At 51.7% G+C, this 27,955-nt stretch overlaps 1 protein-coding gene and 1 pseudogene across 1 annotated transcript, besides 5 other annotated features; one reads left to right on the top strand and one right to left on the bottom strand.

Annotated features, from left to right (window-relative positions):
• Positions 522-1,305: an enhancer, noted in NCBI's record as "H3K27ac-H3K4me1 hESC enhancer chr2:233284555-233285338 (GRCh37/hg19 assembly coordinates)". NCBI's record gives its function as "activates a minimal SCP1, AML or CMV promoter by ChIP-STARR-seq in naive H9 embryonic stem cells {active_cell/tissue: H9 hESC(naive)}" and the evidence as "EXISTENCE:reporter gene assay evidence [ECO:0000049][PMID:30033119]".
• On the top strand, positions 1,239-5,125 carry ECEL1P1 (endothelin converting enzyme like 1 pseudogene 1; annotated as a pseudogene).
• Positions 2,089-2,872: an enhancer, noted in NCBI's record as "H3K27ac-H3K4me1 hESC enhancer chr2:233282988-233283771 (GRCh37/hg19 assembly coordinates)". NCBI's record gives its function as "activates a minimal SCP1, AML or CMV promoter by ChIP-STARR-seq in naive H9 embryonic stem cells {active_cell/tissue: H9 hESC(naive)}" and the evidence as "EXISTENCE:reporter gene assay evidence [ECO:0000049][PMID:30033119]".
• Positions 10,436-14,306, bottom strand: ALPG (alkaline phosphatase, germ cell). The gene is made up of 11 exons (NM_031313.3): positions 14,189-14,306; positions 13,977-14,093; positions 13,749-13,864; positions 13,382-13,556; positions 13,133-13,305; positions 12,749-12,883; positions 12,577-12,649; positions 12,312-12,446; positions 12,038-12,229; positions 11,702-11,818; positions 10,436-11,576 (listed from the first exon to the last, which is right to left on the bottom strand). The coding sequence occupies exons 1-11, from the start codon at positions 14,253-14,255 to the stop codon at positions 11,278-11,280; spliced, it is 1,599 nt and encodes a 532-aa protein (NP_112603.2). The 5' UTR covers positions 14,256-14,306; the 3' UTR covers positions 10,436-11,277.
• Positions 11,679-12,179: an enhancer, noted in NCBI's record as "H3K4me1 hESC enhancer chr2:233273681-233274181 (GRCh37/hg19 assembly coordinates)". NCBI's record gives its function as "activates a minimal SCP1, AML or CMV promoter by ChIP-STARR-seq in naive H9 embryonic stem cells {active_cell/tissue: H9 hESC(naive)}" and the evidence as "EXISTENCE:reporter gene assay evidence [ECO:0000049][PMID:30033119]".
• Positions 12,180-12,680: an enhancer, noted in NCBI's record as "H3K4me1 hESC enhancer chr2:233273180-233273680 (GRCh37/hg19 assembly coordinates)". NCBI's record gives its function as "activates a minimal SCP1, AML or CMV promoter by ChIP-STARR-seq in naive H9 embryonic stem cells {active_cell/tissue: H9 hESC(naive)}" and the evidence as "EXISTENCE:reporter gene assay evidence [ECO:0000049][PMID:30033119]".
• Positions 13,043-14,242: an enhancer, noted in NCBI's record as "BRD4-independent group 4 enhancer chr2:233271618-233272817 (GRCh37/hg19 assembly coordinates)". NCBI's record gives its function as "activates an origin of replication core promoter dependent on BRD2, P300/CBP, MED14 and CDK7 cofactors, and independent of BRD4, by STARR-seq in HCT116 cells {active_cell/tissue: HCT116}" and the evidence as "EXISTENCE:reporter gene assay evidence [ECO:0000049][PMID:35650434]".

The following is a 27,955-nucleotide window of genomic DNA, read 5'->3' as shown; positions in this document are numbered from 1 at the left end:
GTCCCCTACCGCAGCCCGCGCACGACCCTCGGAAGCCTGTCTCCGCGGCCCCCGACCCAGGTCCCCGCTGCCGCCGCGCTGCCAGGTAGCCAGAGGGTCGCAGGAGGAAGGAAGGGAGCGCGGGACGGGCGGAGGAGGGTGGAGCCACCGGCGCGTCCTCTCCCTCGGGCAGGCAGGCAGGCGGGCGGCGGGCTGGGGCGGCGGCAGAGAAGGCAGCGGGAGCGGGGAGACACCGGCCGCTAGCGCCGCTTCGCTCCTGCTCAGGCAGCGGCTTCGGCCCGACCCGCTCCGCCTCTGCCAGGCTCCGGCGCGCACCTGCCGGGTAGGTGGCGCCTGAGTCCCTGCAGCCGCGGCCACTTCCGTCACCTTCGTAGCCGCTGCGCGGAGCCTCCCGGCTTTGTTTGCGTCCATCCGCCGGCTGCGACTCCCAGGCTCGGCTCTGAGGCTCCATGGACTGCGCGCCGCGCCTGCATGGCTCTGGGCTCGCCCGGCCAGCTCGCGCCCCAGCGTGGGTGAAACTTCGCGCAAGTGTGGGTTCTAGGGAGAACCTGTTGAAGCCAGGAGTGGAGCGGAAAGGGGATAGAGACGGACAGGTCTCGGGTTCCCCATCACTGCCGTGCAGGGGGTGGGTTGTGTATCCGCGACCCTGGAGCAATAGTGCGTTCCCCTTGGGAAGGGGCGGGTGGGCCGTCGGGCCACCGAGCAGAAGGAGCCAGCGAGCGGGTTTGAAGTGGTAGATCCCGCAGACTTCCACGAGGACAAAGTTTGGTTCTTTGGCCGTTTTGCGAAGCGTCTGTCTGTGTCCAGCTCGGAGAGCTGAAAGTGCCGCATAGACGCGCCCCTGACCGCACCTCCTCACTCCAGCCTCTGCTCCTTCCCCCACCCCACTTGGCCTTGGCTAGGACAGGTCGTGGACAAGAAAGGCGAAGGGAAGAGAGATGCAATGAAGGCCCCCTACGTGCCAGGCCCCGTGCCCAGCGCCTCCCCCTTCCCATAAGAGGCCTCCCAATCCAGCATCCGACACGTGTGTGCAGGGAGGAGGACAGGGGAGAAGACTCCACTGTGCACGCGGGGATGGTGGCCCCGCCAGACTCTCCTCGTCCCTGGTTTCCGCAGTGAATGAGGCCGGCAGCTGGGGCCTCTGCACCCAGGCCTGCGTCTCTCCTCGCGGTGCCTGGGAGCCCCGTCGGGCTGCTGCGCCTCCTGAGCCTGACTCTGCTCTTCCCGCAGCTTTGGCCCCCCGGGGCCATGCAGAGGCCCACTAGGAGGCCAGCGGCCGCGCGCATCCCATAGCCCAGGTGGCCCAGGGCTGCATCGCGGCGGCCTCGGTGCCATGGAGCCCGGTATTCGCTGACGGCGCACTACGACGCGTTCCAGGAGGTCAAGTACCTAAGCTGCTGTGGCGCGGGGATCGTGCAAGGGCCTTTCTGCCGCCCAGGCTTCTCTCAAGGAGCAGCGCCACCAGGACCTGGGCTGCCGCGCTGGAACCCTGCGTGAGGTGAGCCTGCGGTCGGGGCTGGTGTTCGCCGCTGATCTCTGCGCCATCCTGGCGGCTATGCTGGCGCTCAAGTACCTGGGCCCGGTCGCGGCGGGCGGCGGCGCCTGTCCCGAGAGCTGCCCCGAGGGCAAGGCCTTAGCGCGCGCCGCCGGCCTCCTGGCAGCCAACCTGGACGCCAGCATGGACTCGTACCAGAACTTCTACTTTTTCGTCTGCGGCTGCTGACTGAAGCGCCATGCCACCCCCAACGAAAAGCTCACCTATGGCACCATCGCGGCCTTCGGCGAGCAGAAAGAGGAGCGCCTGAGGCGCCTGCTGGCACGGCCCAGGGATGGGCCCGGCGGCGCGGCCCAGTGCAAGGTGAGCGCCTTTTTCCGTTCGTGCCTCGACATGCGCGAGATAGAGCTACTGAGTCCTCGGCCCATGCTAGAGGTCATGGAGGACTGCGGGGGCTGGGACCTGGGCGGCGCGGCGGAGCGTCCGGGGGTCGCGGGACCTCAACCAGCTGGGACCTCAACCAGCTGCTGTACAAGGTGCAGGGCGTGTACAGTGCCGCCGCGCTCTTCTCTCTCTAGATCAGCCTAGATTACAGGAACTCCTCGCGCTACGTCATCCGCCTGAGTGCGATTCCCGAGCGCCCAGCCAGCGGCCGCAGACCCGGGGCGTGGCCCTGACTAGGGGTCCCTGCGCGTGGGAGGAGGGTGCGCAAGAGGAGAGAAAGGGAAAGCAGGGGAGGGGAGCGCTTGGCGGCAGAGCGCGGGAGGAAGGCGCAAGTAATTTCCCTGGGTTAACTGAAGTGTTCAGCCGAGCCGCGGGAGCCGCAATTTCCCAGCCCTCTGGAAGGCAGTGAGGGCAGGGAGGGAGGGACGCGCCGGCGGGCTGGGCTGACATCTCCGTGAGGGCTGGGGCTGGCGCCAAAGCCAGGAACCCCAAGGGTCAGTGCGGCACTGCGCAAGTGCCCCCGACAGGTAGGGAAAGTGCAGGCTTTCAGGGGTAAGCTGAGACAGTCAGGGATGGGGCTTTGGTCATCTCGTCTGGGTGGAAAGAGGGGCTGGGGTCTGCGTGCTTCTGGGTCTCTACCCATGGATGTCTGGTCGCTCTCTGGGCATTGGGGTGAAAATTCCATCTGTTTGGGGAGTCTGGCATGTGGATCTCTGACCTCTGGCCCCTGTCTCCCTCCCTAGATTGACCAGGATGGGCTCAATCTGCTAGAGAGGACTCTGTACCTCGCTCAGGATGAGGAGAGTGAGAAGGTGCTGGGACATGGGATGGGGAGGCAGGGAAGGCCTGGGGCCCCAGGATGGGTGTCCCTAGGCTAGGCCTGTCCCTGTCCCTGGATGAGCCCCTTCCCGTGGTGCAGATACTGGCAGCACACAGGGTGTTCATGGAGCGAGTGCTCAGCCTCCTGGGTGCTGATGCTGTGGAGCAGAAGGCTAAGGAGACCCTGTGGCTGTAGTGGGGGCAGCTGATGACAGGGGACCATGGGGCAAGGCTGGCTCAGCCCTGATTGCTACGCCCACCCAGATCACTGTGTCAGAGTATGATGATTTCCAGCGAGATGTCAGCTCCATGTACAGAAAGATGACGCTGGGACAGCTGCAGAAGATCACCCCCCCCCCCCATGTGAGTATGGCCCAGGCCCCTCCCCTGCCCCCTGGACTTGCTGGCTGGGTGTGCCATGAATTTCCACCCCTACTTCTGTCCAGTAGTCACACTAGAGGAGGCAGCACTAAAAAAGGACCCAGAGCCCGGGTATCCGATCCTAGCTCTCCCCTCTGCTTTCCGAGGCCCTCGGCAGGGCTGGGAGCTTCCTGAGCTGCAGTTTCCTCACCTAGGGATGGTTGGAAAGAGAAAGTGTGGCTACAGCTCTGCTGTCCCTGGGCCACCCTTGGGAGAGCCTCGTGGTATCTATCCACCATGGGGAGGAACAGAGGCCTTTGCAAGCCAGCTCTGAGTCAGACAGTCACCCTCAAGGACAGACGCTGTCTCCCCATGGCAAGTCAGGAAATGATAGAAGCCCTGACCCATCAGCTTCAGGGGCTGGCATCAGTAGCGAGAGTGTCCTGCTGTGTCATTGAGCTCAGCACACTCCAATTTCAGCCTCCACATACCTGGGATGACCTCCTGCCCCTTCTTTGAGGGACTATCTGAGTGCTGGGTCCAGCCGCAGGCTGGGTAGTACAGGCGGGGGTGGTGCCCTTGGTGGCCCATATGAATGTCTTTCTGGACACCCCACTGGCTTCATCTGGCCCCCAGGGTCCTGCATAACTACCTCGTGTGGGACGTGGTGGTGGTCCTGAGTGAGCACCTGTTCTTACCATTCCATGAGGTGCTGCACAAGCTGGCACAGGAGATGGAGGGCAGCGGCAAGCTGCAGGAACTGGCCCGGGTCAGCCTGGGCCAGGCCAACCACCACTATGGCATGGCGCTTCGTGCCCTCTTTGTACATGAACACTTGTCAGCTACCAAGGTGGGCCGCCCTGGTTTAGGGTGGGGAGGATGGTGCTGAACTGAGGGTGGAACCCTCCCGAGGCCATGGTCCTCGCATGGGGAGCCCCAAATGTCCCCCTGCAGGCAGGGGGACCAGGCCCTGCTTAGGCCTCAGCCTATTCTGAGGCTCCAGTCTGCTCCTCCGCAGGCCTCCTCCTCCTGGTCTGTCAGCGGTAGGTGGCCCTCCCTGCCAGGCCCCTGCCCACCTTCTCAGCCATGCTCAGGAGGCATCTCCTTAGGGATGCCCATGGTGGTTGCTGCAGCCATTTCCTCTTCTAGCCTGTGAGCTTATTGTCGGAGGGGAAGGGTCTGGATCCCTACCTCCAACATGTCCTCTTGGCGCCTAGCACCGAGCTCTGGGCTTAGGAAGTGGTGCTGAAAGACTCCTTCATGCCAGGAGTGATGGACCAGAGTGAAAGGCTGCTGGGTTGACCCTTGCTCCCTGACCCCTGACCCTGCATGTGTGGCAGCTGGTGGAAGACACCAAGTACATCCTGGGCCAGCGCCTGGAGGAGCTGGACTGCATGGAGACCAGAACAGCTACTGGGGCCGTGGTGAGGGGCCCCCAGTGCCATCTGTTGGTCCCATGCACATTGACTGAGCACCTACTGTATGCCAGTGAAAGAGAATAAAAGGGACAAAGAGGACTTCGTGGAGTTGAGCAGGCCTGCCTCCCCCACCGTGAAGCCCACTCCTAGGCTGGCCTAGTGCTCCTTTCCTTGGTGGGCAGGGGGTGGGCAAGGATGCTGTGCCCTGAGGCCCTGTGCCACCTCACCAGCCCTCCGGCCCGCAACTTCAGTACATGGTGGTGATGGTCGGCTACCCAGACTTCCTTTTCAAACTGGGTCTGTGGACAAGGAGTATGAGGTGGGACTGTGTCCCTGCCTGCCCAGCCTGACCACAGCCTCTCTGCTAATGGCACCTGGGAGGGCAGGTGGCCTGCATGGCCCGGTTGTGGCGCTATCTGCAGCCTTGCCCTGGTCTGCGGCTGAGTGCTGCCCATGCCCCTCATAGTTTAAGGTCCATGGGAAGACCTATTACAAGAACATCTTGAACAGCATCTGCTTCAGCATCCAGCTCTCAGTCAAGAAGACTGGGCAGGAGATGGACAAGTCCATGTGGGTGCCTGGCCCAGAGCTGGGGTGTCAGAGGAGGGTCATGAGGCAGTAGCCGGGAAGGTGGTGGCCCAGCCCAGAGGTGGCACAGAAGATGCATTGTCAGGAGATGGGTGTGGCTGGGCTGCCAGGAATGTCCTGCAGTCCGGGCTCTGTGACCTTTCTACAGAGGTGGTTGTTCCCCCGACAGGTGCTCATTGCCTTCTATCTACGCAGCAAGAACCAGATGGGTTTGGGGTGTGTTTCTATACCTATTGGGTCCATATATAGGTGGGTCTCCCACTTGACCACACCCTCCCTATAGTGTAACCACAGAATGTCCTGCAGTCCAGGCTCTATGACCTGACTTCAGTGATCAAGACATAACATACTCTGGCCAATGCATGCCCGGTGGCATCCTAGGTGGCAAGCTTCTATCAAGAGGAACTTCAGCTGCTTCTTGGTGTTGGGGTCCAGTGTGTGGCCTGGTAGCAAAGGGGGAAGCTCTGGTCGGAGGGAGTCAGTAGGTCCTGGGGCCGCCTTAGCTCAGAGGGTACAATTACAAGTCCCACATAGTAAGTCCCACACACTGTAGACATCTTGGGACCCCCTTGGGATGGGGGCAAAGGCCAGTTATGCAGATGCTAACCCGGTGGGGAGGCCTGTTCCTAGAACCAGTGGGACCAGGGCATCATCAGATGCAACATCAGCACCCAGCAGAAGGGCACAGCTGGGATCCCCCTTGAGTCCTGAGAGGCTGCAGGGAGCATACTCCTCTTCCCCGATCATGAGGCTTCCTGTGCCAATCACTGGAACTGTGTAGGGGCTCACGGGCACTCAATGGGCAGGGGGCCTCGGATCTGGTGGGGACTGAACTTGTGGTGCCATCTGGGGTCTGAATTTTGCAGGGAGTGAGACGCCCCTGCTCACAAGGAGTTGCTCAATTTGAATGGCCTGCCCAGGCTGCAAGCACCTCAAGACTAACCTGGACCTTGGGGTTTGGTTAAAGGAACATCAGGCCCTCCTGAGTGCTTACTGTTTGCTGGGCTCATCACATGCCTCAGCACAGCCCTGGGCAGTGAGCGACCCAAGAGCTCATGTTTAATATTGAGCTGAATGCTGGTGCCTTCACCCTTCATGCAGGCACCCACCCCATGTGGTTCCCGGGTGCCCCGGAGGAAGGGAATTGGGTGCCTCAGGCCAGGGGTTGACACAGTACGCCCTCCAGATCACAAGCTTTCAGCAAATTGTGGAGTATTAGTGTGTCTGCCTAAGTAGATTGACAGATTATATGATCTAGTTTTCTTTTTTTTTTTTTTTTTTTTTGAGACGGAGTCTCACTCTTTCACCCAGGCTGGAGTGCAGTGGTGCGATCTCGGCTCACTGCAAGCTCCGCCTCCCGGGTTCATGTCATTCTCCTGCCTCAGTCTCCCGAGTAGCTGGGACTACAGGCGCCCACCACCATACCTGGCTAATTTTTTTTTTTTTTTTGTATTTTTAGTAGAGACGGGGGTTTCACCGTGTTAGCCAGGATGGTCTTGATCTCCTGACCTCATGATCTGCCTGCCTCGGCCTCCCAAAGTGCTGGGATTACAGGCGTGAGCCACTGCGCGCAGCCTTATATGATCTAGTTTTAACCGACCTAATCCTCCAAAAGGGCCAAGAGGCTCACACAAGATTCCTGTAAAGAATCTGCAACTAACAACAGAAATCCAGAGCAGATGAACCACAGCAGAAGGGGGAGCTGAGAATTCCTTATTACTCCTGGCAGAGCGCACGTCACCCGGGGTACGGACCTGACCAGACGTTACCCCTAATAATAAAAAATCAGCAAACAAAACTCTTTGAATTTCCCCCACTCTGATTACTGCTGAAGTTTGCCCCGGGTGCCTTGTTCCTGGAGGTATTACTTAATTACTTATGAGCAGTGTGAAATCCTCATGGTTGGCAAGGTGTCTAAAACTAAGCTTTTTGTTTTTTCTGAGACAGAACGTCGCTCTGTCGCCCAGGCTTGAGTGCAGTGGCAAGATCTTAGCTCACTGCAACCTCCGCCTCCTGGGTTCAAGTGATTCTCCCTCCTCAGCCTCCTAAGTAGCTGGGACTACAGGCATGCATCACCATGCCTGGCTAATTTTGTATTTTTTAGTAGAGACAAGGTTTCACCATGTTGGCCAGGCTGGTCTTGAACTCCTGACCTCAGGTGATCCACCTGCCTCTGCCTTCCAAAGTGCTGGGATTACAGGCGTGAGCCACTGTGCCTGGCCAAACTAAGCTTCCGGAACTGAAGAAAGAGTGCAATTTTTTCCCATCAATGTTTAAATTTAGGTGCAGTTCAACCCAGTACTTCTTGATATTTCCATACGCAATGACAGATATTTGGAAAGCTCTTTTAAAGTTTCTTGCATGATACCATGAGACTAAAAACACCTACCACCAGGGAGAAACTTAATTCTTTCTGTTGCAGGAAAAATGGCAGAAACAATGAGCAGTAAATGATCTGTCGACAAACCGAAAGACTTCTTTGTCAGCAAACACCGTCGGAAGATGTGGAGAAAACACTGCCGAAGATTGGAAGAAACTCGTGTTAGAGCAAAGTACCCAGTGTGGGAGGTTTGCTTTGCAATGAGCTGAAAGCACAGATGTTCCCAACATGGCTCAGCTGAAGGTATTTGCCAGGTGCTGTTCCAATAGGGAAATACACAAACCACTTCTTTCATTTTTTTTCATGTCCCACTAAAAGGTAGATATAGCAGACAAGATATATTGCCAACAGCAAATGCCTTTTTAAATAAAAACAATGTTATGAGGAAATGGTGGAAATGCAACCACAGATGGAATAGCTACTCAGGAAGGGTTTTTTCAAAAAAAGCATTCCGGATACAAATCAGTGTGCAGAGGTAGGTTCACCCTTACCCCTCACTCATTGGCTCACCCCCCGTCTAATCAGCGCAGGAAAGAAGCCCAGCGTGTACATGAGATGTTGCAGAAGGCAGTGGGGTTGATTTTGTAAAGTTTAGATAGCCGCATAATAGAAACTTAAACATAAATAGAAACTTTAAGATACTTGGTAAGGGGAGTGGGTGGAAACTTTCTGGCCACATAGAATGAGTCGCAGAATGACAAAGTACTGAACCCACCTGTCCTGAGTTCTCCCTCTCTTTCTTCCTAACTCTCCCTCCCTCCTTCTTACAATCCAGTTTGCTGACTTTGAACTGAAAAGCTCTCCATTTTAGGCGTACCATGAAAAGATTGAAAATATAAATATACTTCCTGTGTGTCCTTCAGGTAAAGATGTCATTTCAATGACAAAATGAGAAGGTAATTATCTTTCAATGAAAACTCATGCTAAGGAAAGTGCATATTTTTGAATAGAAGTTTGAAAATATTTTCATGACACTTGATTTTGTGGTCAATAACATAGCTGACCGATAAGCCCTTATACCTACACATGAAAAACAAAAACATAAAACAAAAAACAAAAACCTAGACAACAGAATAATCTAATAGCAGAACAATCTATTTTAAAATTTGTCCAGTTTTAAATAATAGAAGTCCGTGGGTGTGAGCACTCATGTAAAATATAATCATGCAGCACCTCCACATTGGTTAGAAAGAGGAACTGACTGACAACTAGGAAGATAGAAATATACTAGCTGGATTTTACCAGAAACCTTTGCATACTTGATGGATGGAATTTAACAATGAGTGTGATAATTTAGTAAGGCCAGCTATTTGAGTCTATCTTCTGTTCACCTCCCATATTTCTGTGACAGCCACTGAAACCCAGAATTGAAAAAACTGTCCTGAAACCCAGGTTCTCAAATACATGTTTTGTTTTGTTTTGTTTTGTTTTGAGACAGGGTCTTGGTCTGTCACTCAGACTAGAGTGCAGTGGCAAAATCTCAGCTCACTGCAGCCTCAACTACCCTGGGCTCAGGTGATCCTCCCGCCTCAGCCTCCCAAGTAGTTGGGATGACAGGCACGTGCCACCTGGCCTGGCTAAATTTTTTAAAAATCTGGGGCTAGGCATGGTGGCTCATGCCTGTAATCTCAGCACTTTCTGAGGCCAAGGCGAGCGGATCGTTTAAGGTCAGGATTGAGACCAGCCTGGCCAACATAGTGAAACCCCATCTCTACTAAAAATTCAAAAATTTGCCTGGCATGGTGGCAGGCGCCTGTAATCCCAGCTACATGGGAGGCTGGGGCGGGAGATTCACTTGAATCCAGGAGGTGGAGTTTGCAGTGAGCCTAGATCCTGCCACTGCACTTCAGCCTGGGAGACAGAGTGAGACTCTGCCTCAACACTAAACGAAAACGTGTAGAGGTGAGGTCTCACCATTTGCCCAGGCTGGTCTGCAACTCCTGAACTCAAGCAATCCTAACCTCTTTTCCTCCCAAAGTGCTGGGATTGCAGGCATTGAACCACCATGCCTGGCAAATAGACGTCTTACAATGTTAATTCAATTTTCATAAAGAAGTATTCAATCATTCTAGTATTTCTAGTGAGTACAAAGTCTTTTTGTTTTGTTTTCTTCTTGAGACAGGGCCTTGCTCTGTCACCCAGGCTGAAGTGTAGTGACGTGATCGCACCTCACTGCAGCCTCCACCCTCCCAGGCCCCAGACAATCCTCCCACCTCAGCCTCCTGAGTAGCTGGGACCACAGACATGGGCAACCAAGCTTGGCTAATTTTTGTATTTTTTGTAGAGACAGAATTTCACCATGTTGACAAAGTGCTCCTTGTACCATTGTAAATGTACAAATAAATCTGTAATAATGTAAACTTTCCTGGAAAATGTGGTTGATTTCACCTTCATTTAATTCTTTTCAATGTTCTCTTGGGGCAAGTGTGATACTAAGTATGGCTGTATTGGGATGGGTGCTCCAGAATGCTTTCGGAGGGAGGTCAGAAACACCTGGAGTCAGCTCCTTCCCCAGCTCTCACCTCTACCCTCCACCACCCCCACCCTCTATCCAAAAGACCAGACCCTTCTCCTGGCAGCAGCCAGAGTGCTCATTTCCCAGCCAGGGCAGGTCACAGCCCTCCTCAAAGACCTCCAACCACACCCCTCTACCTAGACTTCACGGTCCCCCATGTCCCCCACCCTCCTGACCCCTCAAGCTTTACCCCATCTACCCACCCTCTGATCCAGCCCCTGGCCTCCCAGACAGCCTGCTGACACTGCCCCAGGGCCTTTGTGCTGCTGTGCCACCTTGCTCAAGCCCCGACTCTGTTCAGGTCTCCTGCTCAGTCATCTGCTCCTCAGCAGCCCCTCCTGGCCTGTGTTATCCACCCCTCCAGCCACTGTGTCCACATTCAGTCATGATTTTTATGCTAGGAAGTAGTACTGGCATTACATTGTCTAACACTTCCTTTTATTATTGCTTTGTGTTTCCCAGAAGAATGGAGGCCCAGGGAGGGAAGGTAATGAGTCTTCCTTGCTGAGAAATCCATGCCCAGCACCCAGATGGCCTAGGCGGGGCCATGGACTCTGGACTGCTATCCTGCACCCAGAGCTTCCCAGGTGCTCCTCGGAACTCAGGTGGGTGCTGGAATGGACCTTAGGGGGCGTCGAACATCTGAGTGGCTGTGACTTGGGGCAAGCCTCTCTGACTCATGGGCCCCTAGGAGGGGCACAGGGGTGTAGAATTAGCCCAGTGGAGGGACAGCAGAGGACTGTGTCAAAGCCCCCCTGGGGATCCCCACCACAGCAGCCTCCTTGGCTGGGAGGGTGGGTTGCAGGGTGGCAGGAAGCCACGCTTCTCCAAGGCGTCCTGATGCACCCAAGTCCTTGTGTCCCTCAGGTGCTGCCATGACTGAAGCTAAAAAAGGCGCAGGGGGTCCTAGGTATGGGTGCCTCATGTCCCCGGGGAGAGAGCCTGCCTGATCCACCTCAGGATATGGGCGGGGGCTGGATGGTCTGAGCCTCCTCTTTTCCTGAAATGCAGGCAGCTGCCAGGCACAAATCCCCAGTCCCTGGAGTTGGGGCCAAAATTTCAAGAGCAAGATAAAGCAAAGGGCGTGGTGTCAAGGGCTCGGTCCCCAGGGTGCACCGGGAGGGGAAGGTTCCATGGCAGGACGTCTGTGTGGCGACTCCGGGGGTGACAGCTCCAGGTGGAGGTCCGGCAGGACGACTGGAGGTGGGGAGCAGGGGAACTCCGGGATGGGGAAGCAGGAGCCCCAGGGACGGGACACTCAGGGAGCAGTGGCCGTCCCCAGCAGCAGCAAGGTCCCTGCCAGCAGAGGAAGCAACGCGGGGACCACGGACGGCCCCGGGTGCGCGGCGTCGGTGGTGCCGGCGCGGGGCGCCAGGTCGCAGGCGGTGTAGGGCTCCAGGCAGGCGGCGAAGGCCATGACGTGCGCTATGAAGGTCTGCTCCTGCACGCCGTGAACCAGGTGCGCCTGCGGGCCGCGCGCGAACACCGCCACGTCCTCGCCTGCGTGGGTCTCTCCGTCCAGGGGCACTGCTGACTGCTGCCGATACTCGGGGCTCCCTGGTTGGAGGGTTCAGTTTCAGTAGGAAGTTTCAGTTCCAGGCAGACAAGAGGTGACCCCTTCCCGCCAGCCCCCCATCCTTGGCACCCTGGTCCCCCTCAGGGGGCCACCCCACGGCACTCACCGCTCTCGCTCTCCGTAACATCCGGCCGGGCGCCGTCCTTGAGCACATAGCCTGGACCGTTTCCGTATAGGAGGACCGTGTAGGCCTTCCTGTCCCGGGCCTTGCCAGGGGCCAGCCCTGCAGAGAGAGGGGTCCCTGTGGTTGAGCTGAACACAGCTGTGGAGTGTCTCCCACGTGCTAGGCACCGCCACGTTTTGCCTGGTCAGGGGCTTAGTCCGCAGGAGACCCTACAGGGCTGGTGCCAGCATTACTCCCATTTGACAGAGGAGGAGACTGAGGCTCAGATTTCACCCACTTAATTGCTGCAGCAGCACCTGCCACTCTCCCCAGGCCTACCGAAGATGGAGCTCCCTCGCAGGGGGTAGCCTCCGAAGGAGAAGACGTGGGAGTGGTCGGCAGTGACGAGGCTCAGCGTGTCCTCCTCGCTGGTGAGCTGGCCCGCCCTCTCAATGGCGTCGTCGAACATGATCGTCTCAGTCAGTGCCCGGTAAGCCCTGCTTTCATGATGACCATGGTCGATGCGACCACCTGCAGGAAGGCCAGAGGGGGGAGATGCTGAGCCTGCCCTGCTCCAACCCCCAACCCCCACTCCCCAGGGGCCACCACGCACCCTCCACGAAGAGGAAGAAGCCGCGGGGGTTCCTGCTCAGCAGGAGCAGGGCAGCCTCTGTCATCTCCATCAGGGAGGGGTCCAGTGTGGAGTCTCGGTGGATCTCGTATTTCATGTCTCCAGGCTCAAAGAGACCTGTGGGACAAGGGGTCCTGTGGTGACTGGCAGGCTGGGGGTGGGAGGGTGCTGGCGGATGTGCACACAGGCTCAGAAGGTGCCATCTGAGGCCATCTGAGGGATGCCAGGGCAGGAAGGGGGTCATTACCCATGAGATGGGTCACAGACGGGTCCAGGGAAGCCTGCAGGAGCTCAGTGCGGTTCCACACGTACCGGGCACCCTGCGGGGAGGGAGAGAGCCAGGCCTCAGCCCACAGCCCCGAGCCCCACACCTCTGCCCTCCCCCTGCTGTGCCCAGCACACCCACCAGCCCCCATCACCTGGTGCTTCGCCAGCCATTCCTGCACCAGATTCTTCCCGTCCAGCCTGGTCCCACCTTGGCTGTAGTCATCTGGGTACTCAGGGTCTGGGGTCCCCATGGGAAACATGTACTTTCGGCCTCCACCTAGGATCACCTGGGAACAGAGGATGGGGCAGGTGGATTTGGGGGCCTGGCTGGCCCCGTGTCCCCTCCTCATGCACAGCCCCTGACTCCCCTCCCCAAGGCTGTGGGAATGGCCCAGCCTGGGCTGCGCCTTCTACGCCCCCAACCCCACCTCCAGACCCTGCTGGCCCAGATAAGGCTTTTGGTTGCCTGGGTCTGAGCTGGTGCCCCCTCCCTGCTACTCTCTGCCCAGCCCCAGCCCTTGGCCCGGGGGTCGCACATCAATGTCCATGTTGGAGATGAGCTGCGTGGCGATGTCCTGGCACCCCTCCTGGCGGGCCGAGGCAGGCACGTCGGCATCCGAGTACCAGTTGCGGTTCACCGTGTGGGCGTAGGCGCCGGCTGGCGAGGCATGCTGCACCCGTGTGGTGGTTACCACTCCCACTGACTTTCCTGAGGGTGATAGAGGTCAGGATATGCGATAGAGGTCTGTCACCTGGCCCTGACCCCACAGCGGGCCCCAGCTCACCTGCTTTCTTGGCCCGATTCATCACGGAGATGACCTCGTTGCCGCGTGTCGTGTTGCACTGGTTAAAGCGGGCGGCTGCACTCAAGCCAATGGTCTGGAAGTTGCCCTTGACCCCGCACAGGTAGGCCGTGGCTGTGGCTCCACTGTCTGGCACATGCTTGTCTACACTGTATGTCTGGGGACAGAGACACTCTGAGCTCTTCTCTGGGGCAGACAAACAAGACCCTGATCTCTGTCCTCTGGGATTCCAACTGCCTCCAGCTCCTTATTGGAGCCCCAGCTGTTTAGGGTCCCTCCCTCCTACCACACTCCATAGCCAGGATTCCCCTTCTCTGCTTGGAGGACTCTAAGGTAGCCCAGCACTTACCTTGGACAGAGCCACGTACGGGAAGCGGTCCATGGCCAGGAAGGTCTCAGGCCCCAGTTTGTCCTTCTTCTGCCCTTTTAGGATCCTGGCAGCTGTCACCGTAGACACCCCCATCCCTGAAGGAGCAGAAGTGTGTGAGGCTTGCTCCCCAGGGCTGTCCTGGAACCACTGAGGGTCCGGGCGCCGGGGCTGTGAGGGCTGCGGGGCTGGAAGGCCTGGCTCACTCACCGTCACCCAGGAAGATGATGAGGTTCTTGGCGGCTGTCTGTGCAGGCTGCAGCTTCTTGGCGGCACCCAGGGCCTCGGCTGCCTGGCGGTTCCAGAAGTCCGGGTTCTCCTCCTCAACTGGCCAGGGGGAGAGCAAAGATCAGGTCAGCCTGGGCTGGGGGGTGCCCTGTGTGTGTGTGTGTGTGTAGGGGCAGCTGGGGGAGCCTCATTACCTGGGATGATGCCCAGGGAGAGCTGTAGCCTCAGGCCCAGCAGGAGCAGCACCCAGGGCCCCTGCATGTCTGGAAGCAGTCGGAGAGCGGCGAGGCGGAAATCCCAGGTATGGAGTATGAGCTGCACTCCAGGCTGCCTGGGTTTAAATCAGGGAAAACTGTGTCCTGGCCCCTCCCCTTGTTACCACCTTGACCCCGCCCAGCCTCTTGACCTGAAGCCACACTGGCTGAAGGGAGTGGCAGGGTGTGGCTGGGCTGGGCTGGGGCTGGGGTCCTGAGAAAGGCAGCTTAGGGTGGGACCAGGTGTCCCCCAGGGAAGGGTGGGATTTTGGGTATAGTGCAGTGTGCATCCTGCCGCCAGGGGCCCCTCCCCCAACCCCTGCTCACTGTGTCTTGTGTGGAACTAGACACCCTGTCACTCGTTCATCCACCATTTTTTTTTTCTGTATTTCCTGGGAGCTGGGGGCCAGGCTCTGTTCTGGTGTCGAGAGGAGGGGAGGCTGGAAGCACACAGCCCGGGCCAGATACTGGGTTCAGCTTTCTGATGCCAGGAGCCTGGGCCCGGTGGGAAAGGGGCACATGGGGGGCTTTGCCGCTCTGGCACCCCCTTGCTCCAACATCTGGCCTTGGCCTGGACAGGTGGGGCTGGCAGGAATCTAGGCCCAGAGCTCCAGGGCTGTGGGCATCTGTGGGGCCAATGGTGACAACACTGAGTGGGGCCGGGCCAGTCCTGCCCATTGCTTACATGTTGTGTTTGATTGTGTATGTGTTTGTGTGGGTGCACTCGCACTAATGTTTGGACGACGCAGTGGGGGAGAGTCCAGTGCCCTCGGCCAGACAGGCCTGGGCTGGGTCTTCCAGAGCAGCTTGTGCACTTGATTGTGACACCTGTTCCCTTGCACAGGCAGAGGGTGCCTGGGCGGACTCTGTTTTCGGTGGGCCCTGAGCATGCCCAGAACTGTAGCCTTTCACATGGGGATCAGATGTTTTGATAGCCTCAGGCTGAGTTAAAAAGTATTTCTGCAGTTCAGATACCTTGCCATCATTTTTTTCTTTCTGTTTTATTATTATTATTTATTTATTTTTTTGAGACAGGGGCTGGCTCTGTCACCCAAGTTGGAGTGCAGTGGTGCATTCACGCCACACCTCCTAGGCTCAAGCGATCCTCCCACATCAGCCTCCCGTGTATCTTCCATTATGTGAAGCTAATTTTCAAAAATTTGTGTAGAGTCAGGATCTCTTTCTGTTACCCGTGCTGGTCTTGCACTCCTGGGCTCAGGCGATCCTTCAACACTGCTAGGGTTCCAGACTTGAGCCACCAATCTGGGCCCACATTCAGGAGAAATGGATTTGGAGAGGAACCAGAGTGCTCAAGGGTGTGTGACATGTGCCACAATCGTGGGCAAAACAGACCTCTGCCCTTGTGGAGGGCACAATCTAGTGGAAGAGGAATGTTTTTAGAGATGTACAAAGTGCTGGCCATCAAATTGTGGGGAGTTGCTGGAATAGGACAAGGGGCCTAGGAAGGCCTTTCCTAGAAAATGTGGTTTGAAGGCCGGGCACAGTGGTTCACGCCTGTAATCCCAGCACTTTGGGAGGCCGAGGCGGGTGGATCACAAGGTCAGGAGATCGAGACCATCCTGGCTAACACGGTGAAACCCTGTCTCTACTAAAAATACAAAAAATTAGCCGGGCGTGGTGGCAGGCACCTGTGGTCCCAGCTACTCGGGAGGCTGAGGCAGGAGAATGGTGTGAACCCGGAGGTGGAGCTTGCAGTGAGCCAAGATCGCGCCACTGCACTCCAGCTTGGCCGACAGAGCAAGACTCTGTCTCAAAAAAAAAAAAAAAAAAAATAGAGGAAGTGTGGTTTGAGCTGAGAATTAGGGATAACTGGGAGTTAGGCTGATAAAGGAAGGGAAGTGGTGATTGGAGGAGAAATCCTCTGTCCTTGTCTGAGATTACCCTGTGTTAGGGCAGTGGCTGACCCTTTTCTGGGATCACCCAAAATGGGATAGTGGGTGGGTGAGACATGTGGACTGTCAAAACTAGTAGATTCTGAATCCTGTCTCTGCCATGTCCTGCTGTGTGGCCTTGGGCAATTTACTTGTCTCTCTGTTGCTTCTGATAGAAAAGGAGGGTAGTGAGGGAGATTCAAGTTGAAGACAGACAGAGTTAATCATGTTTAAAGTGTTGGCTTTGGCTGCTGTGTGGAGATTGGATTAGAGCGGGGGTGTTAAGGAAGAGGGAGGGATTTGGGTTCCTGGTGAGAATCAAAGTGGCTGGGGCCAGGGTTTGGTGTTGTGGGTGGGGAAGAATAGAAAGTGATCTTTTTTTTTTTTTTTTTTGAGACTGAGTCTTGGTCTGTTACCCTGGCTGGAGTGCAATGGTGTGATCCCGGCTCACAGCAACTTCCGCTTCCGGGATTCAAGCAGTTCTGCCTGAGCCTCTTGAGTAGCTGGGATTACAGGCATGAGCCACTATGCCCGGCTAATTTTTGTATTTTTAGTAGAGATGGGGTTTCACCATCAAGGCCAGGCTGGTCTCAAACTCCTGGTCTCAAGTGATCTGCCCGCCTCCGCCACTCGAAGTGCTGGTATTATAGGTGTGATTAGAAGTGAAAATTAATTGGACTTGGTTGGTGAGGGAGTGGTCAAAGGTAACTCCCAGGTTTCTGGCTTCTGTTATTATGAGTAAAACAGAAGAGTGACTGAACTTCATTAATATATTTTCCATTTGTTGTGGTCATGCAAAAAAATGTTTTCCATCTGTTCCATTTAAAGATGAATAACAAAAATAAACCCTTATTTACTCTGTAGGGATAAATCTTTTTGAGAAAAAGATTTAAAGCCTTTGAGTCTCCCACCTTTCTCCCCAGAGGTAATGACTATCCTGTATTTTGGTTAATCTTGACTTTGCTGTTGATTGCTTTTTACCACATATGCATGTTTTCCTGAATGATATAGTGATTTGTTTAGTGTGTTTTTCAACTTTATATTTATTCTGATTAGGGTTCATTGATAATTTTATTTATTTATTTTTATTTTTTAACTCTTTTTACTTTTTTATTTTTTACACTGTAGAAGTTATCATTATAAACTTTTTCAATCCAAGGGTTTATAACAGTATTTTTTTTTTTTCATTTTCGAAAGACATTTTTTCAGTGTTTCACTCTGTCACCCAAGCTGGAGTGCAGTGGTGTGATCTCGGCTCACTGCAACCTCTGCCTCCCAGGTTCAAGTGATGCTCCTGCCTCAGCCTCCCAAGTAGCTGGGACTACAGGTGCAAGCCACCACACCCAGCTAATTTTTTGTATTTTTAATAGAGACAGGGTTTCATCATGTTGACCAGGCTGGTCTTGAACTCCTGACCTCAAGGCATCTGCCCGCCTTGGCCTCCCAAAGTGCTGGGATTACAGCCATGAGCCACCATGCCTGGCTGGTTTATCACAGTCTTAATAAAATTGGGAAAAAATTTGAAAACCAGAATAACCAAAAGGATGGCTGGGCATGGTGGTTCACACCTGTAATCCCAGTCTTTGGGAGTCCAAGTCAGAGAATTGTTTGAGCTCATGAGTTCCAGGCCAGCCTGGGTTATATATGTGCATATATATATATACCCAAAAGGTAGAAGAAACCAAATGGGGTCATCCACCCAACGAAATATCATGCAGCCTTGAAGGAGGCCCTGGAGAAGACTCTGTTACAACGTGAATGGACGGTTAGGACATTACACCTAGTGAAATATGAAAGTCACAAAAGGACAAATACCGTCTCCTGTAAAATAAGATTCTTAAAAACAATAACAAAAAGGGCAAATGCATATGAACACACTTCTCTGAGGTCCCTAGAGGAGTCAAATTCATAGAGACAGAAGTGGAATGGAGGTTACCTGGGACTGGGGGAGGGGGCAATGGATTAGGGTTAGGGTAGGGTTCGGGTTAGGGTTAGAGTTGGAGTTTAATAGGGACAGAACTTCAGGGTTGCAGGATGAGAACGTTCTGGAAATCAGCTGCACAACAATGTGTGTGTACTGAACACTTGAAAATGGTGAAGGAGGTAACTCTGATGTACCATGTTATGTAGCACAATTCAAAATTTGGTCCAAGAAGAAAAGGCTCCTCCAGCTCCACCCACCCCAGCCCAACCACAGCAGCCCCTTCTCCACTCAGGCCTGTTTACCTCAAGCCCCAGGCTTGGCCCCCAGAATCCAGGGGACCTCACCTGCTGCCCAGCCTCTGCCTGCCCTACCCCACTCCCCACCACACCTAGGGCCTCCCTCAGGCCGAGCTTTCCTGGGTCCTCCTGCCTGCACCCGCCTGACTTCCTGCTGGTTGTCCTGGACCTCTCAGGGAAGATGTCACCCTCATGGGCCCTTCCTGTCTCCTGCTTGTTGCCCCCTTAGTTCCCTCTACCTCCTGCTTCATCTTGCTGAGTTCGGAACATTCTTGGCTAAAGGTCAGAGGAGACTCACTAACAGGCACGCCCTTAATTGATTGATTGATTCACTCCAAAGGCAAAGCCAGTCAGGAGCTTTCCCAGCCATCCTGAGGTTTGGTTTTGTTTTGTTTTGTATTTTGTTCGGTGTTTTTTTTTTTTTTTGAGACGGTGTCTCACTCTCTCGCCCTGGCTGGAGTGCAGTGGCGCCATCTTCCGCACACTCTGCCTCCCAGGTTCAAACGATTTTCCCACCTCAGCCTCCCGAGTAGGTGGGGTTACAGGTGTGCACCACCACGCCCGGCTAATTTCTTTTAAATTTTTTAAATTTTTATTTACTTTGTTTTAGATGGAGTCTCACTCTGTTGCCAAGGCTGGAGTGCAGTGGCACAATCTTGGCTCACTGCAATCTCCACCTCCCAGGTCCAAGTGAGTCTCCCGCCTCAGCCTCCCAAGTAGCTGGGATTACAGGTTCCCGCCACCATGCCCGGCTAATTTTTGTATTTTTAGTAGAGATGGGGTTTTACCATGCTGGCCAGGCTGGTCTCAAACTCCTGGCCTCATGTGATCTGCCCGCCTCAGCCTCCCAAATGGATGGGATTACAGACAATGGCCACCGCACCCAGCCGAGTTTCGTATTTGTTTTTGTTTTTGTTTTTTTGACACTGAGTCTCGCTCAGTTGCCCAGGCGGGAGTGCAGTGGCATGATCTCAGCTCACTGCAACCTCCGGCTCTTGGGTTCAAATGATTCTCCTGCCTCAGCCTCCTGAGTAGCTGGGATTACAGGCGGGCACCACCATGCCTGGCTAATTTTTGTATTTTTAGTAGAAACGGGGTTTCACAATGTTGGCCAGGCTGGTCTCAAACTCCCGATGTCGTGATCTGCCCACCTCGGCCTCCCAAAGTGCTGAGATCACAGGCCTGAGCCACCCTGCCTGGCCCGAGTTTCCTTTTGGAATTTTTGACAAACTGTAGATTCACACGTAATAGTAAGAAATAATACAAGCAGGCTGTGCACGGTGGCTCAAGCCTGTAACCGCAGCACTTTGGGAGGCCGAGGTGGGTGGATCACCTGAGCTCAGGAGTTCAAGACCAGCCTGGGCAATATGGCAGAATCCCAATTATATAAAAAAATACAAAGAATTAGCCAGGCATTGTGGCGTGTGCCTGTGGTACCAGCTACTCCTGAGGCAGAGGTGGAAGGTTGGTTTAAGCCTGGGCTGCAGAGGTTGCAGTGAACCGAGATTGCACCACCACGCTCCAACCTGGGTGACTGAGTGAGAAAACATCTCAAAAAAAGGAAAAAGAAAGGAAGAAAAATAATAAAAGAATGGCCTTGGCCAAGCGTGGTGGCTCATACCTGTAATCCTAGCACATTGGGACGAGGCGGGTGGATTGCGAGGTCAGGAGTCTGAGACCAGCCTGACCAACATGGTGAAACCCTGTCTCTACTAAAAATACAAAAATTAGGCGGGTGTGGTGGCACAAGCCTGTAATTCCCCGCTACTCAGGAGGCTGAAGCAGGAAAATCACTTGAACTCGGGAGGCAGAGGTTGCAGTGAGCCGATATCATGCCACTGCACTCCAGCCTGGGCTACAGAGCATGGCTCTGTCTCAATAAAAAAAAAGAAAGAAGGAAAGAAAGAAAGAAGGAAGGAAGGAAGGAAGGAAGGACAAATGCCTTGTGCACTTTGCTTAGTTTCCCTCAATGACGTAATCCCCAGTTATTATTCAGATTTCCCCAGTGTTACCTGTACTCGTGTGCATATGTGTGGGAGTGTGTATACAATTTTATCACCCAAGTAGGTTTGTGTGTAACGGCACCATAGTTGAGATACTGAAGAGCTCCAACCCCACAGGGTCACTTTTATAACCAGGTCACCTCTTTCCTCCACCTCTTCCCCTGTCCCTAATCCCTGGCAATCTGCTATGCATCCTGTGTCTCTAATATTTTGTCATTTCAACTAAGTTACATCAATGCAAACAAACAATGTGTGATCTCTTGGGAAGGGCGTTTTTTTTCACTTAACATAACTTCCTGGAGCTTCATCCAAGCGTGTGCCAGCAGCTGGCTCCTCCGTAGTGCTGAGCACTATTTCACGGGATGGAAGCACCACAGTGTGTTTAACCAACCACCTGCTGAAGGAAGCTTGAGCAGCTTTCAGTTTTGGCTTTTATAAATAAAGCTGCTATGAGCATTCATGGGTAGGTTTTTGAGTGAACATGTGTTTTCATTTGTCTTGGATAAATGGCCAGGGCTGTATGTTGGTTGCATGTGTAGTTTTTGGAGAAATTACCAGCTTGTTTTGCAGATTGGCTGTACCATTACGTGTCCACCAGCAAGCTGAGTGACTTTTTCAGCATACTTGCCAGCATCTGGTGTTGTCATATTTTGTATTTCAGCCGTTCTGATAGCTGTGTAGTGGGAAGTTTCTTTCAATGCTCTTCTTATGATGACCTTAAGCAATCCTCGCTACAATTCGCCCTGGTTTCCTAACTCAGGCCTGTAATCCTAGCACTTGGGGAGGATGAGGCTGGAGGATCCTTTGAGGCCAGGCTGGGCAACATGGAGAGACCCTGTCTTTACAAAAAATTAAAAAATTACTCAGGTGTGGTGGTGCACACCTTTCGTCTTGGCTATTCTGGAGGGTGAGGTGGGAGAATCACTTGAGCCCAGGAGATTGAGGCTGCAGTGAGCCATGTTTGAGCCACTGTATTGCAGCCCAGGTGACATAGGGATACCCTGTCTCAGGAAGAAAAAGAAAAACAGAAAAAGAAGAAATATCAATAAACGTGTGTGAAAAGGTGTCTACCAATGTAGAAGAGACCACACTGGGTGGGGTGGTGTCCCAGATCCCAGACTGGCCAAGATTTAAAAGTCCATCCCTGGGGAGCTGGCAGGAAGTGGAGGAACCAATAGGAGCAGCGTTCTGAATGTTGAGCTGTGCACATCCCACGAGACAGCAATTCTGTCCTGGGTAGGTGTCCTGGAGAAACTTGGCACATGTCCAGGAGGAAAGCACCAAACGTGTACAAAGTGGCATTGTTTAAATAGCCAGACATGGAAACAGCCCCAAATGTTGATTGACAACAGAAAAGATAAAATGTCGCAGGGCACGGTGGCTCATGCCTGTAATCCCAGCACTTTGGGAGGCCGAGGCGGGCAGATCATGAGGTCAGGAGTTCGAGACCAGCCTGACCAACATGGTGAAACCCCATCACTACTAAAAATACAAAAATTAGCTAGGTGTGGTGGTGCACACCTGTAATCCCAGCTACTCAGGAGGCTGAGGCAGGAGAATCTCTTGAACCTGAGAGGCAGAGGTTGCAGTGAGTCGAGATCGTGCCACTGCACTCCAGCCTGGGCGACAGAGGGAGACTCTGTCTCAAAAAGACAAAAAGAGAGAAGATAAAAAGTCAATTGTTTCATGATTGGAATCGTATACAGCAATGGAAATAACCAGTTGTAATATGCAACAGATTAAATGAATCTCACAGACATAAAGCTGGACAAAAGATGCAAATCACAAAAGAATACATAGGATCCAACATATCTTTTATGTATATAAAGTTGAAATTAGGCAAAACTAAACTATATGAGGGATAAAACTATGAAGAGGAAATGAGTATCAAAAAATTCAGGGAGACCAGGTGCAGTGACTCATACCTGTAAGCTCAGCACTTTGGGAGGCCAAGGTAAGAAAGATTGCTTGAGCCCAGGGGTTTGCAACCAGCCTGATCAACATAGGGAGATTCTATCTCTAGAAAAAATTTAAACATTAGCTTTGTGTGGTGGCACATGCCTGTACTCCCAGCTACTTGCGAGGCTGAGTTGGGAGGCTCACTTGAGCCAGAGTGTGAGGCTGCGGTGAATTACAATGCTGCCACCGCACTCCAGCCTGGGTGGGAGAACAAGACTCTGTCTGTAAATAAACAAACAAAAACCAACAAACAAACCCAACAACTCAGTTTCCTTTGGTGACAAAGGAATGGGAATTATGAACAGGGAAGGTATGGGGTGGGGTGGGGAGATCCTGGTCATAGTCCATTTCTTGATCCGGGTGGTGGTTTCTTCAGTGTTCAATTCTGTAATTATTCTTTAGGTCATAGCTCTCTGTTTTAAACACTGATTTAAGCACTGTTTAAGCTTTCTGTTTAAAGCACAGATTTTCACTGGTTACTTAACTTCATGTCGTTAATTTTTGTTCTGTCTGATCTTGATTAGTTGTTTCACAAATTCATGTTTTTTCACTTGTGTTCTGAAAAAAATTTTATTTAGTCCTTTGATTTTTTTTTTTTTTTTTGTGAGACTGAGTCTCGCTGTATCACCCAGGCTGGAGTGCAGTGGCGTGATCTCGGCTCACTGCAACCTCTGCCTTCCAGGTTCAAGCGATTCTCCTGCCTCAGCCTCCTGAATAGCTGGGTTACAGGCACCTGCCACCATGCCCAGCTAAGTCTTTTTTTTTTTTTTTTTTTTTTTTGGAGAGACGGGGTTTCACCATGTTGGCCAGGCTGGTCTTGAACTCCGGACCTCAAGACCTCAAGTGATCCACACGCCTCGGCCTCCCAAAGTGTTGGGATTACAGGCGTGAGCCACGGAGCAAGCCTAGTCCTTTGATCTTAAAGTTATCAGAAACTTGTCCTAAGAGTACTTGGTAATGTCTTTACCATGAATCTGATTGGAAACGTTTTTAGGGAAGGACAACACTGTGGATGACAGAGACTTTGAATAGCCATTCTTAAAAATATGATTGAAGTTCAGACCTGACATGGAGGTTCACACCTGCAATCCTAGAACTTTGGAAAGAACTTTGGGAGGACAGCTTCAGACCAGGAAATGCAGACCAGCCTGGGCAACATAGCAAGATCTCATCTGCATAAAAAATAAAAACATGGCCGGGTGCGGTGGCTCACGCCTGTAATCCCAGCACTTTGGGAGGCCGAGGAGGGAGGATCAGGAGTTCAGGAGACTGAGACCATCCTGGCTAACACGGTGAAATCCCGTCTCTACTAAAAAAAATACAAAAACTTAGCCATGCGTGGTGGCGGGCGCCTGTAGTCCCAGCTACTCAGGAGACTGAGGCAGGAGAATGGCGTGAACCCGGGAGGCAGAGCTGGCAGTGAGCCGAGATGCCCCACTGCACTCTAGCCTGGGCGACAGAGCGAGACTCCATCTCAAAATAAATAAATAAATAAAAATAATAAAATAAAATAAAAAATAAAAACATTAGCTAGGCATGGTTACATGCACTTAAAGTCCCAGTTAATCGGGAGGCTGAGGCGGAAGCATCACTTGAACCCAGGAATTCAAGACTGCCGTGAGCTATGATTGTGCCACTGCACTCCAGCCTGGGTGACAGAAAGAGAGTCTCTACTTATATTTAAAAAAAAAAAATCTGATGATAGTTTATTGTAATTAGTAATTGACAAGGAAGTTTGGTTATTTCTGTGACATACAATGTAATCGTGGAGTGAAATCCCCAGTGAAATATTAGATTTCTAAGAGTTTTATCCAATGATGCAATGATGGAATTTTCATAGACCTTGTCTATACAAAAATAAAAAAGCCAGTTGTGGTGGCACACACAAAAAAGTTAGCACAGTAGGTGGTAGTCCTAACTACTCAGGAGGCAGAGGCAGGAGAATCCCTTGAGCCCTGTTGGTCAAGGTGGCAATGAGCCAAGACCACACCACTGCACTGTAACCTGGATGACAGAGCGAGACCCTGTCTCAGAAAAAAAGAAAAGAAAAGAAAGCTTTAGTTTAGATGTGAAATATATTTCAGAAGTAAAAATTAATAACTCTTTTAGATTTTCTAAGAGCTGATCTATACTTCAAGAAAACTTTGTTGTACTAACACAGGGGACCAAATTTTTAGGTATTTTTTTTTTTTTTCTTTTTTGAGAAAGACCCTCACTCTGTCACCCAGGCTGGAGTGCAGTGGCGTCATCTCTGCTCACTGCAACTTCCGCCTCCCACGTTCAAGCAATTCTCCTGCCTCAGCCTCCCAGCTAGCTGGGATTACAGCCACCCGCCAACACACCCAGCTAATTTTTGTATTTTTCGTGGAGACGAGGCTTCCCCATGTTGAGCAGGCTAGTCTCGAACTCCTGACCTCAAGGTATCTGCCCGCCTCAGCCTCCCAAAATGCTATGATTATAGGCATGAACCACCACACGCGGCCGCAAATTTTTGGTTTTTTAATCAGAGTAGTTTTTTTTTTCTTTTTCTTTCTCTTTCTTTCTTCTCCTTTTTTTTTTTTTCCTTCTAGAGCCATAAGAGGACAATATCAGTGTAGGTTTTTTTTTTTTTGAGATGGAGTCTCACTCTGTTGCCCAGGCTGGAGTACAGTGGCACAATCTTGGGTCACTGAAACCTCTGCCTCCCAGATTCAAATTCAAGCGATTCTCCTGCCTCAGCCTCCAGAGCAGCTGGGATTTCAGACATGTCCCGTCATGCCCGGCAAACTTTTGTATTTTTAGTAGAGATGGGGTTTCACCATGTCGGCCAGGCTGGTCTCCAACTCTTGACTTCAAGTGATCCACCCACCTTGGCCTCCCAAAGTCCTGGGATTACAGGGATGAGCCACTGTGCCCAGCCTCAGTGTAGTTTTAATATGAAAGCTCAATCCTTAGACTCATAAATAATTTCCTTCTAATTTTAGCCAACCTGATCACATACAAAAATTTCTTTCACAAATTCATCCTTCACAAACCTTTCATGACTTAGCAATTCCATGACATGCTTAGACCTCTGCTTTGACCTAAACTTCCCCTTTCTTAATTAATAAGTTGTTTTATTTAGGACAGAAAATTTACCACACAAGATCCTTTGTCATTCCGAATTCTTTTTTTTTTTAACTGTTTTTACCAAAAATATATCTTCATACCTGTAACATTCTTCACATCTCTCTCCTACTTACTGGTTCCTTTCTGTCTTGTTTTTATTTAGTTCATACATCCATATTTTGAGACAACATTATATAATCTCCAAATTAGACAAAATTATTCCTTTATTTCCGTGAATAACACATTTTGGCCAGGTGCAGTGGCCCACACCTGCAATCTGAACAGTTTGGGAGGCTGTGGCAGAAGGATCACTGGAACCTAGGAATTCGAGACCAGGCTGGGCAGCATAGCAGACTCCTATCTCTATTTTTCTTAATTTATAAAAAGTTCAAATAATTTTAAATATACAACAATACCAAATAAAGCAAAAACATGCTTTTACACATTTTAAATAATTTTTCTTGTCAAAAATGCATCTTTTTTTTGGTACACTTGGTCCACGGAATTGTATAGATTAATTAGAATTTTTAACTCTTAGCAACCTTAATTTCTAGTGAAAAACCAGCTAGCAAAAGAAAAAAGTATTTTTTTCTTTTTTTTTTTGAGATGGAGTTTTGCTCTTGTCACCCAGGCTGGAGTGCAATGGCATGCTCTCAGCTCACTGCAATCTCCACCTCTCGGGTTCTAGTGATTCTCCTGCCTCAGCTTCCCCAGTAGCTGGGATTATGGGCACCCGCCACAACACCCAGCTAGTTTTTGTATTTTTAGTAGAGACAGGGTTTCGCCATGTTGGCCAACTGACCGTCACATATCAGTATTTTACAGATGAAAACCGTTTATAATTTTAGAAACATCACTGTTTTATGTGTATCAGTACAACCCCAATATATTTGGTAGTTCTATCAGATTTTAAGAAGCCACAAACACACTTATATTTATGTTCGGCAATTTATGTTTTTGTGTCTTATTTGGAAATGACCCCTATATTTAATGAGTATCTGTCACTTAATGTAACATAACCTGACTTTAAGATTTCATATTCTGGCTGGGTGTAGTGGCTCTTGCCTGTAATTCCAACACTTTAGGAGGCCGAGGCGGGCCGATCAACTGAGGTCGGGAGTTCGAGACCAGCCTGACCAAGGTGGAGAAACCCCATCTCTACTAAAAATACAAAAATTATCTGGGCTTGGTGGTGCATGCCTGTAATCCCAACTTGGGAGGCTGAGGCAGGAAAATCCCTTGAACTCAGGAGGCCGAGGTTCTGGTGAGCCAAGATCATGCCATTGCACTCCAGCCTGGGCAACAAGAGAGAAACTCCATCTCAAAAAAAAAAAAGATTTCAAATTCCGACTGGACGCGGTGGCTCACACCTGTAATCCCAGCACTTTGGGTGGCCAAGAGGGGAGGATTTCTTGAGACCAGGAGTTCGAGACCAGCCTGGTCAACATGGTGAAACCCTAAAATTAGCTGTGCATGGTGGCACATGCCTGTAGTCCCAGCTACTTGGCAGGCTGAGTCAAGAGAATCACTCGCACTGAGGTTGCGGTGAGCCGATATCGCACTACTGCACTCCATCTTGGGCCACAGTGAGAGAATCTGCCAAAAAACAAACAACAAGCAAGCAAACAAAAAAATCTCAAATTCTATGAAAAGCTTATTTATAGACATTTATGCCATTTACAGTTACCTAATTTATATTTTTAACAACTATATCCCCATTAATTTTGAATACTGAGATATTACACAAAGCTAGTCGTCATTTCAGGTTTTTTTCCTGTTCACAACTTTTGTAGCCTGTGACTCTCAGATGTTCACCTAAGAATCTTAAAATTAAATAAATAGATATTTTGCCAGTAACTTGTAAGACAGAGCTATTTTCATTAAAGTAGCAATACTAAATTAGTTTTATTTATCAAAGAACTCCACAAACAAAGATCACTTTGTTTTTAGGTTGGGTTTAAGGTTTTATAACCTTGAGGCATCTAGCAGAGACACATATGATCCCATCTGACCCGCAAACCCAGTGGAAAATGTACACTGCAAACGCTAAAGATGGACATGCACGGTGGCTCACGCCTGTAATCCCAGCACTCTGGGAGGCCGAGGCGGGTGGATCGCTTAAGGCCAGGAGTTCGAGACCAGCCTGGCCTACATGGCAAGGCCCATTCTCTATTAAAAATACAAAACAATTAGCCGGGGGTGGGGAGGCGTGCCTGTAGTACCATCTATTCAGGAGGCTGAGGCATGAAAATTCCTTGAACCTAGGAGGTGGAGGTTGCAGTGAGCCGAGACTGCACCACTGCACTCCAGCCTGGGTGACAGAGCAAGACTCTGCCTAAAAAAAAAAAAAAGAAACAAAGAAAGAAAGAAAGAAAAGAAGGTGCTAAATATATTTTATTTTTATTTTATCAACACATTTAAAACTAGCCTATTTATCAAAGATATAGTTAGATCATGTGAACTAAAAGGTATTTGGGTTCATTTTTATGTTATATATGTATACATGTATTTATATATGTATGTGTGTATACATGTATGCATATACA

The sequence above is a fragment of the Homo sapiens genome, chromosome 2 (assembly GCF_000001405.40).
Source record: "Homo sapiens chromosome 2, GRCh38.p14 Primary Assembly".
Classification (NCBI taxonomy): domain Eukaryota; kingdom Metazoa; phylum Chordata; class Mammalia; order Primates; family Hominidae; genus Homo; species Homo sapiens.
This window is presented reverse-complemented; position numbering and strand designations above follow the sequence as displayed.

What these genes read in the sequence shown, in the direction of transcription:
- ALPG (NM_031313.3), bottom strand. Translation starts at nt 14,255, where the DNA reads ATGCAGGGGCCCTGGGTGCTGCTCCTGCTGGGCCTGAGGCTACAGCTC. An exon ending in CTCCCTGGGCATCATCCCAG is followed by an intron (nt 14,094 to 14,188) that starts GTAATGAGGCTC and finishes CCCCCTGGCCAG; the next exon opens with TTGAGGAGGAGAACCCGGAC. An exon ending in AATGGCTGGCGAAGCACCAG is followed by an intron (nt 12,650 to 12,748) that starts GTGATGGGGGCT and finishes CCCTCCCCGCAG; the next exon opens with GGTGCCCGGTACGTGTGGAA.